Below are 17,444 nucleotides of genomic sequence, written 5' to 3'. Positions count from 1 at the left end.
CAGAACTGTGAGAAAATAAATTTCTGATATTTTAAACCATGTCGTTTGTGGTTATTTATTACAGCAGCCTCAGGAAACTGATGCAACCAACCATAGGATCTCTCAGCTGCAGTGTGCACAGGGAAGGCGGGACATATATTTGACCCTTTCTTTCTATTTGCCAATTTACAGAAAAATAAATGGTTTCCCTAGCAACCTCCAAAGAAGACCAGTGCGTTTTCTTTCACTTATTTTTAGGACCATAATGAACTCATATATTTCTATATATTCAGTGTTTCAATTTTCAATCCATTGCAGTTATGATTCTTTTTATGATATTGTTCTTTTGAATGCTTAAGTTGACCCAGGAGCCCCTTCAAGATGGCCCCAGTGTCTTTTTGACATAAATCCAGTACTTAGTTAAATTTCTTGTTTTCTGGCCTAAAAAGATATCCCAGGTTCTTCTTAAATATTCTTTTTTTTTTTTTAATAGACAGGAGTCTTGCTCTGTTGCACAGGCTGATCTCAAACTCCTGGCCTTAAATGATCCTCCCAACCCTGCCTCCCAAAGTGCTGGGATTACAGGAGTGAGCCACTGTGCCCAGCCCATCTTCTATATTCTTGTTCCGCATCTGGAATCAGTCATTTCTCCAAGGTTCCCTGATTCCTCATAGTGAAAAATGATATTTAGAAGCCACTATCTGGGCCGGGCACAGTGGCTTACGCCTGCAATCCCAGCACTTTGGGAGGCCGAGGCAGGTGGATGATTTGAGGTCAGGAGTTCAAGACCAGCCTTACCAACATGGTGAAACCCCGTCTATACTAAAAATACAAAAATTAGCCGGGTGTGGTGGCGCGCGCCTGTGACCCCAGCTACTTGGAAGGGTGAGGCAGGAGAAATCACTTGAACCCAAGAGGTGGAGATTGCAGTGAGCTGAGATCGTGCCACTGCACTCCAGCCTGGGCAACAGAGCAAAAGTCCATCTCAAAAAAAAAAAAGGGGAGCCATTATCTGGTTATAAGGTGTTAATTGCTTGTAGGTTGTTTTTGTTGGTAAGACGTTTCAGTGAACAGACCTAGGAAATACATGTTTTTAGAAAGAGAAAAAGAATTTATTGCCAAGTGCAGTGGTGCGTGCCTGTAGTCCCAGGTAGCTGGAAGGCTGAGGCAGGAGGATAGCTTAAGCCTAGGAGTTCTGGGCTGCAGTGCACTGTGCCAATCAGGTGTCCACACTAAGTCTGACATCAGTATGGTGACCTCCCTGGAGCAGGGGACAACCAGGTTGCCTAAGGAGGGGTGAATCAGCCCAGGTCAGAAATGGATCAGGTCAAAACTCCTGTGCTGATCGGTAATGGGATCATGCCTGTGAATAGCCACTGCACTCCAGCCTGGGCAACATAACAAGATCCTGTCCCTAAAAAAAAAAAAAAAAGAATTTATAAATTTATATTGATATTTCTAAATTTATGATTACAGAGTTTTTATCTAGCTTTGTTAATTTTTTTTTTTTTTTTTGAGACAGGGTCTTGCTTTGTCACCCAGGCTAGAGTGCAGTGATACAACCACGGCTCACGGCAGCCTTCACCTCCCTGGCTCAAGCAATCCTCCCACCTCAGCCTCCTGAGTAGCTGGGACCACAGGCATGGACCACCATGCCTGGCTAAATTTTATTTTTTGTAGAGATGAGGTCTTGCGGTGTTACCTAGGCTGGTCTTGAACTCCTGGGCTCCAGTGATCCTCCCACCTCAGCCTCCCAAAGTGCTGTGATTAAAGGTGTCAGCCATGAAGCCCAGCCTAATTTTTCAATTTGGATCTCTGTTTTTTATGCTGAAAATCTTGTTAGTGAGGACATTAACATAATTATTTGTGCACATATAGTAGTAGAGGATAGTAATTGCACACACACACAATTTCAAAATAACAATACCAATATAATTTTTAAGAGGATTCCTAAGTACTGTTTAAGATTCCTTGGTACTTCTTCTTGTCCTTAGGATATACTGCAGCAGGTATGTAGATGAAAAATACCGTGTCTAAAATAACATGAAAAAATCCTTCAGTGTTCATGCCACCGGCCCTATGTATAATTGTTCAATTGTTCTGCTATATTTTTATGTTGAAACGTAACTCGCGTTTTATGTTTCAGGAATGCTTTTTTCCTTACTTACTTAATTTTACTTTGCAATTACATAAAGCCTGATGTTCCAAAGTCAAAACTACCAAACAGGGCACATCCAGAAAACTCCACCTTCCCACGCCACCCTCAGCACCCTTCCCCTGCCTTCTCTTTTTAGGAAACCTTTTTTTGTTGTTGTTGTTTTTTTTTTTTTTTTTTTTTTTTTTTTTTTTTTTTTTGAGACAGAGACTTGCTCTTTCGCCCAGGCTGGAGTGCAGTGGCGCGATCTCGGCTCACTGCAAGCTCCGCCTCCCGGGTTCATGCCATTCTCCTGCCTCAGCCTCCCTAGTAGCTGGGACTACAGATGCCCGCCACTACGCCCGCCTAATTTTTTGTATTTTTAGTAGAGACGGGGTTTCACTGTGTTAGCCAGGATGGTCTTGATCTCCTGACCTCGTGATCCGCCCCCCTCGGCCTCCCAAAGTGCTGGGATTACAGGCGTGAGCCACCGCGCCTAGCCTAGGAAACCATTTTAATTTATTTTTGGTTTCTTTTTCCCTGTTTGTGCTTCAAAACATAAACAAATACTTAACTATATTCATATTTCTAATTCTTCTTGTGCCATCTGTAAAATTGCTTTTTTCAGGCTTAAAAACATAGCCTACAGGCCAAGCGCAGTGGCTCATGCCTGTAATCCCAGCACTTTGGGAGGCCAAAGCGGGCAGATGATCTGAGGTCAGGAGTTCGAGATCAGCCTGGCCGACATGGCAAAACCCATCTCTACTAAAATTACAAAAATTAGCCAGGGCGTTAGTGGCATGCACCTGTAATCCCAGCTACTCAGGAGGCTGAGACAGAAGAATCACTCGAGCCTGGGAGGCAGAGGTTGCAGTGAGCTGAGATCGTACCACTGCACTCCAGCCTGGGTGACAGAGACTCCATCTCAAAAAAAAGAAACAAATGTAGCCTAGAGATTATTCCCTATGCAGTTCTCTGTTGTGTGAATAGCCCTGGTTTAGTCAACCAATCCCCAACTGATGGACGTTTGTGTTTTTTCCTGTATTTTGCTGTTAAAAAGGTCAGCATGAATGGCTTTTTTGCAAGTTTCTTTCTTTCTTTCTTTCTTTCTTTCTTTCTTTCTTTCTTTCTTTCTTTCTTTCTTTCTTTCTTTCTTTTTTGAGATGGAGTCTTGCTCTGTCGCCAGGCTGGAGTGCAGTGGCACGATCTCAGCTCACTGCAACCTCCGCCTCCTGGGTTCAAGCGATTCTCCTGCCTCAGTCTCCCGAGTAGCTGGGATTACAGATGCACGCCACACCCAGCTAATTTTTTTGTATTTTTAGTAGAGATGGGGTTTCACCATGTTGGCCAGGATGGCCTCGATCTTCTGACCTGATGATCCACCCACCTCGGCCTCCCAAAGTGCTGGGATTACAGGCGTGAGCCACCGCGCCCGGCCACAAGCCTCTCTTAAGGATAGACTTTCAGGGGTGGGAGGGCTGGATCCCTGAGGACAGGCAAGTGTAATCCCATCTCCATCTTCATTTCCTTGTCTGCCTTCCCACAGGAATGTAAGTAAGCTCTTTGGCCGTACCGCCCACTGTTGCGTCTCTCATTCATTATAGACACACATATCTGGTGGAAAGAATGAATCGCACCGTGTCGTTCCCCTGTGGAAACCCTGCAGTCGCTGCCGTCACCTACAGGGTAAAATCCGAAACCCTTTAGTGGCACAGAAGATACCAGTGACGGCCTGACCTGCCCTGGCCACACCCCCGCTTTCCGTGCCAGCATCCTTGAACTTGGTCCTCTGACCACGCCAAATTGCTTCCACTTCCCCAGGTGTCTTCCCATCAGCACATGCCACACTCTCGGGTTACAATACCCCCGCCCCTCTCTGACTTGGTTTCCCAGGTGAACTCTTTCTCAGCCTTCAAAACCCAGGCCAAGCACTTGGATTTTAAACACAGGCGCTCCCTCCACCATGGGGCGATATGGCGATTACTTATTTTAGTGTCCACTCTGCTCACCAGACCCGAGCTGTAGGAGTGTGGGAGCTGTTCTCACCCATCCCTGAACCCCCAGCACCTAGTGTTATGTCAGGCTCAGAGCAAGTGCATAAGAAAGCTTGTTGAGAAAATGAAAGGGAGGCTTCCTATGGTTAAAAGAATGTGGATACAAAAGACTTGGGTTCAAATCCTGGCTTTTCATCTGCCACCTAGGAGATCTTGGGCAAGTCGACGTCTTGGTTTGCTTTCTGTAAACTGGGGATAATGCAAGTTCACTGAAGGTGGCCTTCGGGGCTGAGGGCAGTCACGTGTGGTGGAAGTGCTTAGGATATGACAAATAATGACATGGAAAAACAACAGAGGTAACAAGAGCAGAAGGAATTCAGAAGAGCCAGGGTGAGCTCAATCAGAAGTGAGGAGGAAGCTAAGGCATGGGAAGGAAGGGGCATCGATGAAGGGAATGCATAAGTGACCAAGAAAATTGGTAGCAGCCAGGTGTGGTGGCTCATGCCTATAATTCCAGCACCTTGGGAGACCAAAGGTAGGAAGATCACTTGAGCCCAGGAGGTTGAGGCTGCCATGAAGCTAGGATCACCACTGCACTCCAGCCTAGGCCACAGAGCAAGATCCTGTCTCAAAAAACATAAAAATAAAAATAAAAAATATGGGTCACTCTTCTGGGTACTTCTCAGTGTTATTTAATGATAAAAAAAATATGGGTCACTCTTCTGGGTACTTCTCAGTGTTATTTAATGAAGCCACAGCCCTATGAGCCCTGTGAGGTCATGTTATCATCCCACATAACTAATGGGATGCCTGAATCTGGGTCTGGTAACAAGGACCAGGCACCATTTGACCAACAAGGGGGTTTGCAGTGAGGTCCCCTCTCTTCTTTCCTTCTGTCCTGGGAGCCCTTCTTCTTTCTCGTCTCCTGTTTTTTCTTTGACTCACAGCCACTGCTCCAAACTTCCCCACTGACAAATTCTCAGTGTAAGAATCTCTTCCTAGGCCAGGGGTGGTGGCTCACGCCCGTAATCCCAACACTTTGGGAGGCCGAGGCAGGAGGATCACCTGAGATCAGGAGTTTGAGACCAGCCTGGCCAACATGGCAAAACCCCATCTCTACTAAAAATACAAAAATTAGCTGGGCGTGGTGGTGCACACCTGTAATCCCAACTACTTGGGAGGCTGAGGCAGAATAATTGCTTGAACCCAGAAGGCAGAGGTTGCAGTAAAATTATACCACTGGATTCCAGCCTGAGCAACAAAGCGAGGCTCTGTCTCAAAGGAAAAGAAAAGGCCAGGCGCGGTGGCTCACGCCTGTAATCCCAGCACTTTGGGAGGCCGAGGCGGGCGGATCATAAGGTCAAGAGATCGAGACCATCCTGAGCAACATGGTGAAACCCCGTCTCTACTAAAAATACAAAAAATTAGCTGGGCATGGTGGTGCGCAACTGTAGTCCCAGCTACTCAGGGAGGCTGAGGCAGGAGAATTGCTTGAACCCAAGAGGTGGAGGTTGCAGTGAGCCAAGATTGTGCCACTGCACTCCAGCCTGGCAACAGAGTGAGACTCCATCTCAAAAAAATAAGCAACAACAACAAAAAACACCTCCTTCCTTTTTATTAATCTTAGTCTTGGAAATCCCTCCCACTTTGATCTCTATCCCTTCACCTATGTGCGGTTGTGGGGGAGTAGGGGGAGGAGTGGGGGGAGGAGTCGGGGGCGGGCAGAACAAAGAAGGGATATTTGAAGTAATACAAAGGAATAGGAAAGAAATTTTTAAATGACAAATTTCCAAAGTTATTTTATTACATCTAATGCTAAAGGAAAGGTCAGGCTGGTTTATAATTCAGACAGGTCAACATATATGATTTGATGGGAGAATAGTTAGGGTTCCATTTCCTTTAAGTTTCTATTCCAATCAATTTCCACTGGTGATGTCTAACTCAGATCCCGTCTCATGAACTGAAGCCATCTCACTTCCTGTCCAGGATGATCGTTTCCCCTCTTTTAATCAGAATCCCAACAGCTGCCCCAGGGGGAGCAGCGTGTTCCAGACACACATGGTTTCTTAGACAAGGTAGGGTGCGGCTGCAGCGGACAGGCACTTCTGGCTAGGTCAGGCTTCAAGCTAGTTAATATTGAATCTTCCTCTTAGCTTTCCTCAGTTCAATGCTCTTCTTAAGTAGTCAAGAATTTCCTCAATCTTATGTAGGTAAAACTGGAATTCAGAGCCTAGAGTGTATTCTGTAAAAAGAAGAGTTAGTCGGAAATGGTTAAACCTTGTACAGTCCTCACAAAAACAGAGAAGGGGGACGGCCAGACACCATACCCGCATCGTATTTTTGGGAAGTCTTTTGATTCCTTAGAATGCTCTCCACGTGCCCGGTGCATTGCCTTTAGTCATCTTCACTGTGTTTGAACTCAGGCTTCTAAGCTGCCCAGAGCCAAGGGGTGGCGTGTTGAGGTGGGCTGTACTCTTGGATTTTGGCTTCTCCCACGATGCCCCCCGTGGCCCTTGCCTGAGGGGATATAGGCGTTTTCTAGTAAATAAATCGCAAGAGGTCCGTATTTGGCCATCGTCTTGTTTTTGTAACTGACCTTGGTTTCTCAATTCACTCCTTGCAGGTGGGTTAATCATATCAACCCCGCTGGGATACAGTTCTCTACAGAACAGTGAAATACCATGAGTCACGCAGCTGGGTTGACCACAGCCAATCACTGCTACATAGAAATCTGGGCCTGGCCAGGCGCGATGGCTCATGCCTGTAATCCCAGCACTTTGGGAGGCTGAAGTGGGTGGATTGCTTGAGCTCAGGAGTTCGAGACCAGCCTGGGCCACATGGCCAAAGCCCGTCTCTACAAAAAAATACAAAAATTAGCTGGGTGTGGTGGTACATGCTACTCCCAGCTACTTGGGAGGTCGAGGTAGGAGGACTGCTTGAGCCCTGGAGGTCATGGCTGCAGTGAGCCAAGATTGCGCCATTGCACTCCAGTCTGGGCAACAGAGCAAGACTCTGTCAAAAAAAGAAAGAAAGAGAGGAAGAAAGAGAGAGAGAGAGAGAGAGAGGGAGGGAGGGAAAAGAAAGAAAGAAAGAAAGAAAGAAAGAAAGAAAGAAAGAAAGAAAGAAAGAAAGAAAGAAAGAAAGAAAGAAAGAGAGAGAAAGAAAAATCCAGGCCTGAGGGAAGGTGGGCCAAGATGATGCCCAGTTGTCTGTTCTATAATCAGCAAAGGGAGGCCACAATTCGGGTTCCCTGGGGGTAAGGAAGCCCTCTGATGCTGAACTGGGAGTTGAAGTAATCGATCCTAAACAGCGATTCTTAGTGGACCTACAGACAAATCACAGCATGGAATACCTCAGTCTGGGGCCGGTACCTAGAACATCTGACCCCCTCGTGAGGAGATGCTAGAGTGACGCTGTAGTGGAAAAAGCATTTCAGATGTGGCAAATAGAACGATACGCAGTCTGTTAGTGACTATTGCAAGAATAGCGTAAAATTGTTTTAGGGAAAGCAGGGGAAATATGGCAACATTTAGACCTAGGAGACAGGCCGGGCACAGTGACTCACACCTGTAATCCCAGCAATTTGGGAGGCCGGGCAGGCGGATCACCTGAGGTCAGGAGTTCAAGACCAGCCTAACCAACATGGTGAAATCCCATCTCTACTAAAAATACAAAAATTAGCCTGGCGTGGGGGCGCGTGCCTGTAATCCCAGCTACTTGGGAGGCTGAGGCAGGAGAATTGCTTGAATCTGGGAGGCGGAGGTTGCAGTGAGCCCATGAGATTGCACCACTGCACTCCAGCCTGGGCGACAGAGTGAGAGACTCCAAAAGAATTAGGAGACAGACCCATGAGTCTAAGCTCCCTTTGGTCAGCCTGCTTGCAATTGGACCTGTTAAAGACGACATCACTTTCGGACAAAGGGATTCTTGCTGTTAATGTTGTATATGGTATAATATGGGGAAATGATTACTGTAACTGATGTCAGTTTTTTTCTTCTGTTAGTATTGTATTGGAGGAGTGAATTGTATTTCAGGAAACAATATAGAAAACACCTATATCCTCTGTTAATTCAGTAAGTGAACCAGGAAGGAAAGGTGGGGAGAAAATCACAAATAGGCCTTATTCGGGTTGGGGAGGTGGAAATTTAATTTTTTTGTTTGTTTGTTTGTTTTGGTTTTTTGAAACAGAGTCTCTCTCTGTCGCCCAGGCTGGAGTGCAGTGGCGCAATCTCGGCTCACTGCAAGCTCCGCCTCCCGGGTTCATGCCCAGCTACTCAGCCTCCCCAGTCTCAGCCTCCCCAGTAGCTGGGACTACAGGCGCCCGCCACCTCGCCTGGCTAATTTTTTGTATATTTAGTAGAGGCGGGGTTTCACCATGTTAGCCAAGATGGTCTCGATCTCCTGACATCGTGATCTGCCCGCCTCAGCCTCCCAAAGTGCTGGGATTACAGGCGTGAGCCGCCACACCCGGAGGAAATTTAAGTTTTAAAAGGTACATATAAAGATGGGATAAGGCCGAACGAGGTGGCTCGTGCTTATAATCCCAGCACTTTGGGAGGCTGAGGGGGGAGGATTGCTTGTGGCCAGGAGTTTGAGACCAGTCTGAGCAACATAGTAAGAGTCCATCTCTACAAAAACTACAAAAAAAATTAGCTGGGTGTGGTGGTGTGTGCCTGCAGTCTCCGCTACTGGGGAGGCTGAGGTGGGAGGATCACTTGAGCCTGGATGTTTGAGGCTGCAGTGAGCCGTGATTGTGCCACTGAGCTCCAGCCTGGGCAACAGACTGAGACCTTGTCTCAAAAAAGAAAAAAAAAGTGGGATAATATTGAGTACACAATATTGATAGGATACTGATTCTACTGTATTGGAAAATATAAAGGTATCAGGAATGGTTAACAGAATGGGCTGTAAAGACAATGGATTCACCACAACTTTACAGAAAGCAGACAAAATAAAGATGAGGAGGCTGTGAAATATTTACACTCTTGCCAACACAGAAACGAGGTGAGCCAAGGACACGGTTGGAGCCTGATCCAAGGAACTGGAGGATGCAGCGGAGGCTGGCCTGCCCGCACCTGCTTCCAGCACGCTGGGGTCTGGGGCCTGCGCCCCAGGCAGATGCAGGGAACAATATGTGGTCTAGTTAACTCCACTTTGAGAGAATGTATAGGAGGCGTTGGGGGTGGGTTCATAACACAGACTATGATCAAGATGCGCAGGAAATAATCTGGGTGGGGTTAATAAGGTTAACTTGGCCAGGCACGGTGGCTCCCGCCTGTAATCCCAGCACTTTGGGAGGCCGAGGTGGGCAGATCACCTGAGGTCAGGAGTTTGGGACCAGCCTGGCCAATATGGCAAAGCCCCATTTCAGTTAAAAAAAAAAAATTAGCCGGGCGTGGTGGTAGGTGCCTGTAGTCCCAGCTACTGGGGAGGTTGAGGCAGGAGAATTGCTTGAACCCGGGAAGCAGAGGTTGTAGTGAGACGAGATTGCACCACTGCACTCCAGCCTGGGTGACAGAGTGAGACTCTGTCTCAAAAAAAAAAAAAAAAAAGGTTAACTTGAACCTACACTCTTGTGAGAGCTTCCGGATGTTGTGGTCTTCTTGCTTCTCCTGCTCTCTCTAGCCAAGACTAGGTAGGTAATAAATCACGTAGCTGTCGCTTCTGATTGTCTCGTGTGTTCTACTCACTGGCATCCCTGCCTGGACTGGGAAAAAGTCATCACCCTCTGCCCAAGCCCTGTGCAGCTTGGCCCACCTGAGCCTCTTGCTACTGAAATGACTCTCCTTCCCTTATATCACCAGAAGAGATGGGTCCACCTAGAGGAAGGAGCAAAACAGGAGTTAAACTGCAGAGCATGATCAAGAGTCGGTCTCACTCACCCTGATTCGGGAAGTTGGATTCCACCACTCTGTGGTTCAGGGGCTGGGTCCTGCGGTAATCGTTGTGGATGGTCTTGTTGCGGTGATCCAGTAAGGAATTCTCCAGCTTCCAAACCTGGGGGCAACGTGAGTGCATTATGGAGGGGAAGAGTCACTGGGTAATTTAAAAGAAATAACAGTTGGCCCGGCGCAGTGGCTCACGCCTGTAATCCCAGCATTTTGGGAGGCTGGGGCGGGCAGATCACTTGAGCTCAGGAGTTGGAGACCAGCCTGGCCAACATGGTGAAACCTCTTCTCTACTAAAAATTAGCTGATCATGGTTGTGTGCACCTGTAATCCCAGCTACTCAGGAGGCTGAGGCAGGAGAATCGCTTGAACCTGGGAGGCAGAGGCTGCAGTAAGCCAGTATCACGCAACCGCACTCCAGCCTGGGAGACAGAGAGAAACTCTGTCTCAAAAAAAATAAAAAATAAAAAAGAATTAACAACTGGGCTAGAGTTTGGATTTATATAACCCTGATGAAGTGACTGTAAGAAGATCTCAAGTCCAGGGGAGGTTCTGGGTGCTGTGTCTCAGGCATTATTCCAGAACTAATCTATCCGTGCATTCTTCCAACAGGTATCTGCACACAAGCTCTCTTTTCAGCTTTTTATATGAGTATTTGTCCAGTAGTAGAAAGGAGAGAAAGAAGAAGCAGAAATATATCAAGTGGCAAACTCAATTTTTGTTTTTCTGAAAATGTCAGGTTTTTCTCTTTTTTTTTTTTTTTTTTTTTTGAGACCAGAGTCTCGCTCTGTCGCCAGGCTGGAGTGCAGTGACGCGATTGCGGCTCACTGCAACCTCCACCTCCCGGGTTCAAGTTATTCTCTCCTGCCTCAGCCTCCTGACTAGCTGGGACTACAGGCACCCACCCACACACCCAGATAATTTTTATATTTTTAGTAGAGATGGGGTTTCACCATGTGGGCCAGGCTGGTCTCAAACTCCTCAGGCCATTCGCCCACTCAGCCTCCCATAGTGCTGGAATTACAGGTATGAACCACCTCACCTGACCTGAAAATGTCTGTATTTTGTCTATATCCTTGAAAGGCATCTTTGCTGCACATACAATTCTATATTGGCTATTTTTTTTCCCTCGGCACTTTGAAATTATGTTTCCACTCCCTTCTGACTTTCACTGTGGCTGTTAAATCAACTCTCTGTCTAATAATACTCTTTTCATGATAATCTGTCTTTTCTTTCTGGCTAATTTTTAAATAGTTTCTTTGTCTTTGATGATTTCAATGTGATGCGTTTACTGCAGGATGTTGTGTATACACACACACACATATCTACACACCCAGAGAGAGAGAGAGACAGAGAGAGAAACTAATTGGCATTCTTGAATATATGACTTGGTATCTCTTCCTGAAAATTGTCAGCCAATATTTTGTCAAATCATGCCTCTTCCCTACTCTGCCTCTCTTCTCCTTCTAGGATTTTGATTAGACATTTACTAGACCTTTCCAGTACACAATGTCTCTTCACTTCTTTTCATAGTTCCATCTCCTTTTCTCTGTGCTGCATTCTAGATAATGTTATTGGCTGTCTCCAATTTACTAATTCTCTCTCAAACTGTATCTAACATGCGTTAAACCCATTCATTGGGTTTTTGTTTTTGTTTTTTTGAGATGGAGTCTTGCCCTGTTGCCCAGGCTGGAGTGCAATGGCATGATCTCAGCTCACTGCAACATCCGCCTCCTGGGTTCAAGCGATTCTCCTGCCTCAGCCTCCTGAGTGGCTGGGATTATAGGTTCACACCACTATGCCCGGCTAATTTTTTGTATCTTTAGTAGAGACAGGGTTTCACCATGTTGGCCAGGCTGGTCTCGAACCCCTGACCTCGTGATCCACCCGCTTTGGCGTCCCAAAGTGCTGGGATTACAGGCTTGAGCCACCGTGCCCAGCAAACTTTTTTTTTTTTTGAGACAGGGTTTTGCTCTGTTGCCCAGGCTGGAGTGCAGTAGTGCAATCTTGGCTCACTGCAACCTCCACGTCCCAGGTTCAAGTGATTCTTCCACCTCAGCCTCTGGGGTAGCTGGGATTACAAGCGCCCCACCACCACGACTGGCTAATTTTTTGTACTTTTAGTAGAGACGGGGTTCCACCATGTTGGCCAGGCTGATCTCAAACTCCTGACCTCAGGTGATCCACCCACTTTGGCCTCCCAAAGTGCTGGGATTACAGGCATGAGACACCACAACTGGCCTGGATTATTAATTTTTGATACTATTTTTCCATTTCTAGAAATTCTATTTGAGTTTTTGTCCCAAGTCTGGATGTCCATTTTTATACTTTTTTGCTCTTTTCTCATATTTAAACCTTTTATTTCTTTATACATGTTAAACATTCTTATGTCATATTAATTGTCTGATAATTCCACTAACTGAAGTCTTTGTAGGTCTGATTCTGCTGGTTCTCATCTATAATGTCTTTTTTTCTCATATGTTTTGTATTTTTTTTTCTTAATTGAGCTAATTTCAAGTAACTTTATTTGTGAAAATTCTTCTAGGTCTGGATTTAAGGTCATTTTCCCAGAGATAATTTACCATTTGCTTTTGTCAGGTGTCTGGGGGCACTTCTAGCCTGACTGGCAACATTTTGGAGTGTGAGTGTCCTTGAGCAGGGGTCTTTTCCACCTTTTTCTAAGGAAATGAAAAGTTTAAGAAAAGGAGATGGCCGGGTGCAGTGGCTCACACCTGTAATCCCAGCACTTTGGGAGGCTGAGACAGGCAGACTGCTTGAACCTGGGAGTTTGAGACCTGCCTGGGCAACATAATAAAACCCTGTCCCTACTAAAAATAAAAACTAGCCGGGCGTGGTGGCACACTCCTGGAGTCCCAGCTACTCGGGAGGCTGAGGCAGGAGAATTGCTTGAACCTGGGAGGCGGAGGTTGCAGTGAGCTGAGATCGTGCCACTGCACTCCAGCCCAGGTGACAGAGCGAGACTCTGTCTCACAAAAAAAAAAAAAAAAAAAAGGTTGGCTAGACGAGGCACAGTAGCCCTGCACACAGAAAATACTGTAGGACCCCTTAGTTGTTGACGTTCGTTGAGATGCTGGGGAGAACCCTTGTTAACCAGGCAATCGAATGGGAAGACTTCGGCAAAGTGATACCATACATTACCTGTGTCCTGGAGAGCTTGACAAAATCTGCCAGCACAAACCAGTGGACGTTCTCAGTGCAGGGAGGCGTGGTGAGTGAGCCATGGTAGGTGTAGTAGTGCTGGAGGTTCCTGGGCAGCATGTCCTGAACGTCAAGGCCAGTCAGGGTTGTTCTTTGTCCTGACCAAGAAGACAGAAGGTAACAGAATGTCAGGGACCAGCGCTGCCCCTCGGGAGGACAGCTCAGGCCCAGGCCTCGCCAGGTTCCAATCTCTTGAGTTCAGCAGAACATAGAAGCTGATGATTAAGAAACAATTTCCCAGTTTACTTCTTCCTGGAAGGGATTGAGAGGAGAGACTTTGGGGATAGACGCACTCAGACACCTGCTCCTGGCTGAGTGCTCTTGGCCGGGTGCTCACCCTGCGGCCATTTTCTCATCTGTAGAAAGGGAATAATCAGCAGGATTGTTGTGAGGGTAAGAAGGAATAACGTCTGGAAAGCAGCTGGCATTGAACCACTACATAGGGAAGTACTCCTAAGTGTAACTGCTGCGGTCACCATTATCATGGCTAGGCAGAGGACACATTTTATGATCAATGAAAGAAATAAATATGGCCCCTGGAGACTTCTGGGTAAGTGCCCTTGAAGAAAGACCAAAATGCCTTGGTTTGGGCTCATTGAGAAGTGGGTAGACAACAGTTGTAAATGCAGAATCAGGCCAGGCGCAGTGGCTCACGCTTGTAATCTCAACACTCTGGGAGGCCAAGGCGGGAGGATTGCTTGGGGCCAAGAGTTCAAGACCAGCCTGGGCAACACAGGGAGGCCCCGTCTCTACAATAAGTTGTTTTTTTTATTATTTTTTTAAATAATAAATGCAGAATCAGAACCAAGCCAGGGTCCAGGTACAGGCATTTGGTCCTGAGCTCTTCCTGCCACAACCGCTGGAAACCAAGCCCAGCCACAGGTGGGGCGTAGGGTGGGGCCACTTCCACCAGGCCTGCAAAACTCCTGCAGCAGCCACACCTGCTCCTGCTCTAGAGAGGTCCTTGTTTCATTCATGTCAACAACACTGAGCCCCTGAGCTCAGCACAAGACTCTCAAGGCAACACAGGATTGAGTTGGATTTTGCTTCACTTTCCCTGAGCACTTCTGCGCTTCTTAAAGGCAGAGAACATAGTTTTGATACATACGTAGATAGGCCTGTTCAACCAAGGCCACAATGTCTCAGAGTGCATAAGCCCATGAGTAGGCAAAAGAGTTCTAAGTTTGATTATTATTGGAAGATTTCAAGATATAACCTCCAAAAGGGCTCTGTGGTAGAGATTTATTTTTGTAACTCTAATATATTTAAGTGAAAGTCAAGAATTCCAGAATCATGATGCAGCCACCACGGAAAATGGTATAATAGTTCCTCAAAAAATAAACATACGGCCAGGTATGGTGGCTCACACCTGTAATCCCAGCACTTTGGGAGGCCGAGGCGGGTGGATCACCTGAGGTCAGGAGTTTGAGACCAGCCTGGCCAACATGATGAAACCCCGTCTCTACTAAAAATACAAAAATTAGCTGGGCATGGTGGCACGTGCCTGTAATCCCAGCTACTCGGGAGGCTGAGGCAGGAGAAGCGCTTGAACTTGGGAGGCGGAGGTTGCAGTGAGCCGAGATCAAGGCACTGCACTCCCGCCCCAGCGAGACTCTGTCTCAAAAAACAAAAAAAAATTAAAATTAAAAAAACATAGATTACTATGTGACCCAGCAATTCTACTCCTATCTACCCAAAAGAAATGAAAGCAGGGACTCAAAGAGATACTTGTACACCTATATTCATAGCAGCGTTACCTCACAATAGCCAAAAGGTAGAAGCCACCAAAATGTTCACCAGTAGATAAATGGATACACAAAATATCATATATCCACACAATGGAATATACTTCAGCCTTTTTTTTTTTTTTGAAGCAGAGTCTCACTCTGTCACCCAGACTGGAGTGCAGTGGCACAATCTCAGCTCACTGCAACCTCTGCCTCCCGGGTTCAAGCGATTCTCCCGCCTCAGCCTCCTGAGTAGCTGGGAATACAGGCACCCTCCATAACACCTGGCTAATTTTGTATTTTTAGTAGGGACGGGGTTTCACCATGTTGGCCAGGCTGATCTCAAACTCCTGACCTCAAGTGCTCTGCCAGCCTTGGCCTCCCAAAGTACTGGAATTACAGGCGTGAGTCACCTCGCCCAGCCACTTCAGCCTTTAAAAGGAATGAAATTCTGATAACATGCTACAATGTGGGCAAACCTAAAAGACATTATGCTAAGTGAAATAATCCAGACCAAAAAAAAAGACAAATACTGTTTGATTCTACTTATATGAGGTACCTAGAATAGTCAAATTCTTAGAGACAGAAACTGTGGTTACCAGAAGCTGGAAGGGGAGATGGGGAGTAACTGTTGAATGGGTACAGAGTTTCAGTTTAGGAAGACGAAAAAAAGTTCCGGCAATGGAGCGGGGTGATGGTTGCATCATACTGTGAATGTTCTTAATGCTACTGAACTGTACATTTAAAATGGTTTAAGGGGTAAGTTTGTTGTTGTTGTCGTTGTTTGAGATGTTGTTGCGCTCTGTCGTCCAGGCTGGAGTGCAGCGACACAATCTCAGCTCACTACAACCTCCACCTCCCGGGTTTAAGCGATTCTCCTGCCTCAGCCTTCCGAGTAACTGGGATTACAGGCGTGCACCACCATGCCTGGCTAATTTTTGTATTTTTAGTAGAGACGGGGTTCAACCATGTTGGCCACACTGGTCTCAAACTCCTGACCTCAGGTGATCAGCCCGCCTCCGCCTCCCAAAGTGAGGGGATTACAGGTGTGAGCCACCGCACCCAGCCTTAAGTGGTAAGTTTTAATTCAGGCTGTGGGACTGCGTGGAGTCACTGAGATGAGACAGAGCCTGACTCCACCCAACATTTAGGGCAGGAGCCAGAAAGAGAGTGAGAGGGCAGAGCTGGGGCGCGCCAGACCACCCTTTGAAGGTAAACTAAGACGAGAAGAAGAGTGGCCCATAGATCTGACCGTCACTCCGGCTCCGTGGAGCATTGGGGCCAGCTCAGGGTGGGGTGGGTGAGAATGGAGAACAGGACTATTCTATGACCTTTTCAAGGGGAGCCAGAGAACTGGGGGAAGCTGGGGAATGGTAAGGTCAGGAGATAACGTTTGTTTGCTTGTGTTTGGAGGTGGGAGGAATTAGGGCAGATGTGTGTGCTGAGCAGGAGGCTTTAATAAAGAGTAAGACATCAACGATGCAGACCGGGCACGGTGGCTCATGCGTGTAATCCCAGCACTTTGGGAGGCCGAGGCGGGTAGATCACAAGGTCAGGAGATCGAGACCATCCTGGCCAACATGGTGAAACCCTGTCTCTACTAAAATACAAAAAATTGGCCAGGCATGGTGGTGTGTGCCTGTAATTCCAACTACTCAGGGGGCTGAGGCAGGGGAATCACTTCAACCCGGGAGGCGGAGGTTGTAGTGAGCTGAGATCATGCCACTGCACTCCAGCCTGGTGACAGAGCAAGACTCCATCTCCAAAAAGAAAAAAGAGAGAGAGAGAGAGAAATCAACGATGCAGAAGACCAGGGAGAGAATAGCAGGAAAGGAGGCCCTGAGCATGGGAGAGGAGTGGGGTTGGGCCCCACGTGGGAGGGGTGGTGTTGACAAGAGCAGGGATTTGTCATCCGTTGCAGCTGAAGAGGGGATGTGGAATTTGGTCCAGATGCACGTGGGTTAAGGAGCGGAGTGTTTCTGGCCTGTGGCTTCTGTCTTCTCAATGGAGTGGGAGTGGGAGCGTCAGCTCCAGGGGAATTGCTGGAGCCCAGGCACAGGGGCTTCAGGAGAGAGGAGAAAGCATGTGACAGGAATTTGGGAGGTCAGAAAGAAAATGCCCAGCGTGATACTTTAGGATTTCTGGGCACTGTTCATATTTGTAGCTATGAATAAAAAATAATACCAGTTGGCCAGGTGTGGTGGCTCATGCCTATAATCCCAAAATTTTGGGAAGTTGAGGCAGGCAGATCACTTGAGCCCAGGAGTTCAAGACCAGCCTGAGAACATGGTGAGACCCTGTCTCTACTGAAAATACAAAAAAACCAGCCAAGCATGGTGGTGCACCTGTAGTCCCAGCTACTCAGGAGGCTGAGGTGGGAGGATCAACTGAGTCCCAGAGGTCGAGGCTGCACTGAGCCATGATCGCGCCATTGCACCCCAGCCTATGCAACAGACCAAGACCATGTCTCAAAAATAATAACGATAATAATACCAGTTAGATG

The 17,444-nt window shown here is 47.1% G+C and overlaps 1 protein-coding gene and 1 pseudogene across 6 annotated transcripts in view; one reads left to right on the top strand and one right to left on the bottom strand.

Moving 5' to 3' along the window:
* RN7SL451P (RNA, 7SL, cytoplasmic 451, pseudogene) lies at positions 1,097-1,395 on the top strand (annotated as a pseudogene).
* CA6 (carbonic anhydrase 6) overlaps positions 5,879-17,444 on the bottom strand; it is a 29,225-nt gene continuing 17,659 nt past the window's right edge. For 3 of the 6 annotated variants that reach the window (NM_001215.4, NM_001270501.2, NM_001270502.2), the window contains 3 exons: positions 13,155-13,312; positions 9,990-10,104; positions 5,879-6,349 (listed from right to left, as the gene is read on the bottom strand). In NM_001215.4, the coding sequence (NP_001206.2) occupies positions 6,267-6,349; positions 9,990-10,104; positions 13,155-13,312 (356 nt within the window). In that variant the 3' untranslated portion in view covers positions 5,879-6,266. Of the gene's footprint in view, positions 6,350-6,429; positions 6,646-6,682; positions 6,769-9,989; positions 10,105-13,154; positions 13,313-17,444 lie in introns of those variants that run through there. The other 3 variants (XM_011542084.4, NM_001270500.2, XM_011542083.4) reach the window with 3 other exon arrangements.

Source organism: Homo sapiens, chromosome 1 (assembly GCF_000001405.40).
Source record: "Homo sapiens chromosome 1, GRCh38.p14 Primary Assembly".
In the NCBI taxonomy this organism is placed as follows: domain Eukaryota; kingdom Metazoa; phylum Chordata; class Mammalia; order Primates; family Hominidae; genus Homo; species Homo sapiens.
The sequence above is the reverse complement of the archived record's forward strand: the minus strand, read 5'-3'. Positions and strand labels throughout refer to the sequence as shown.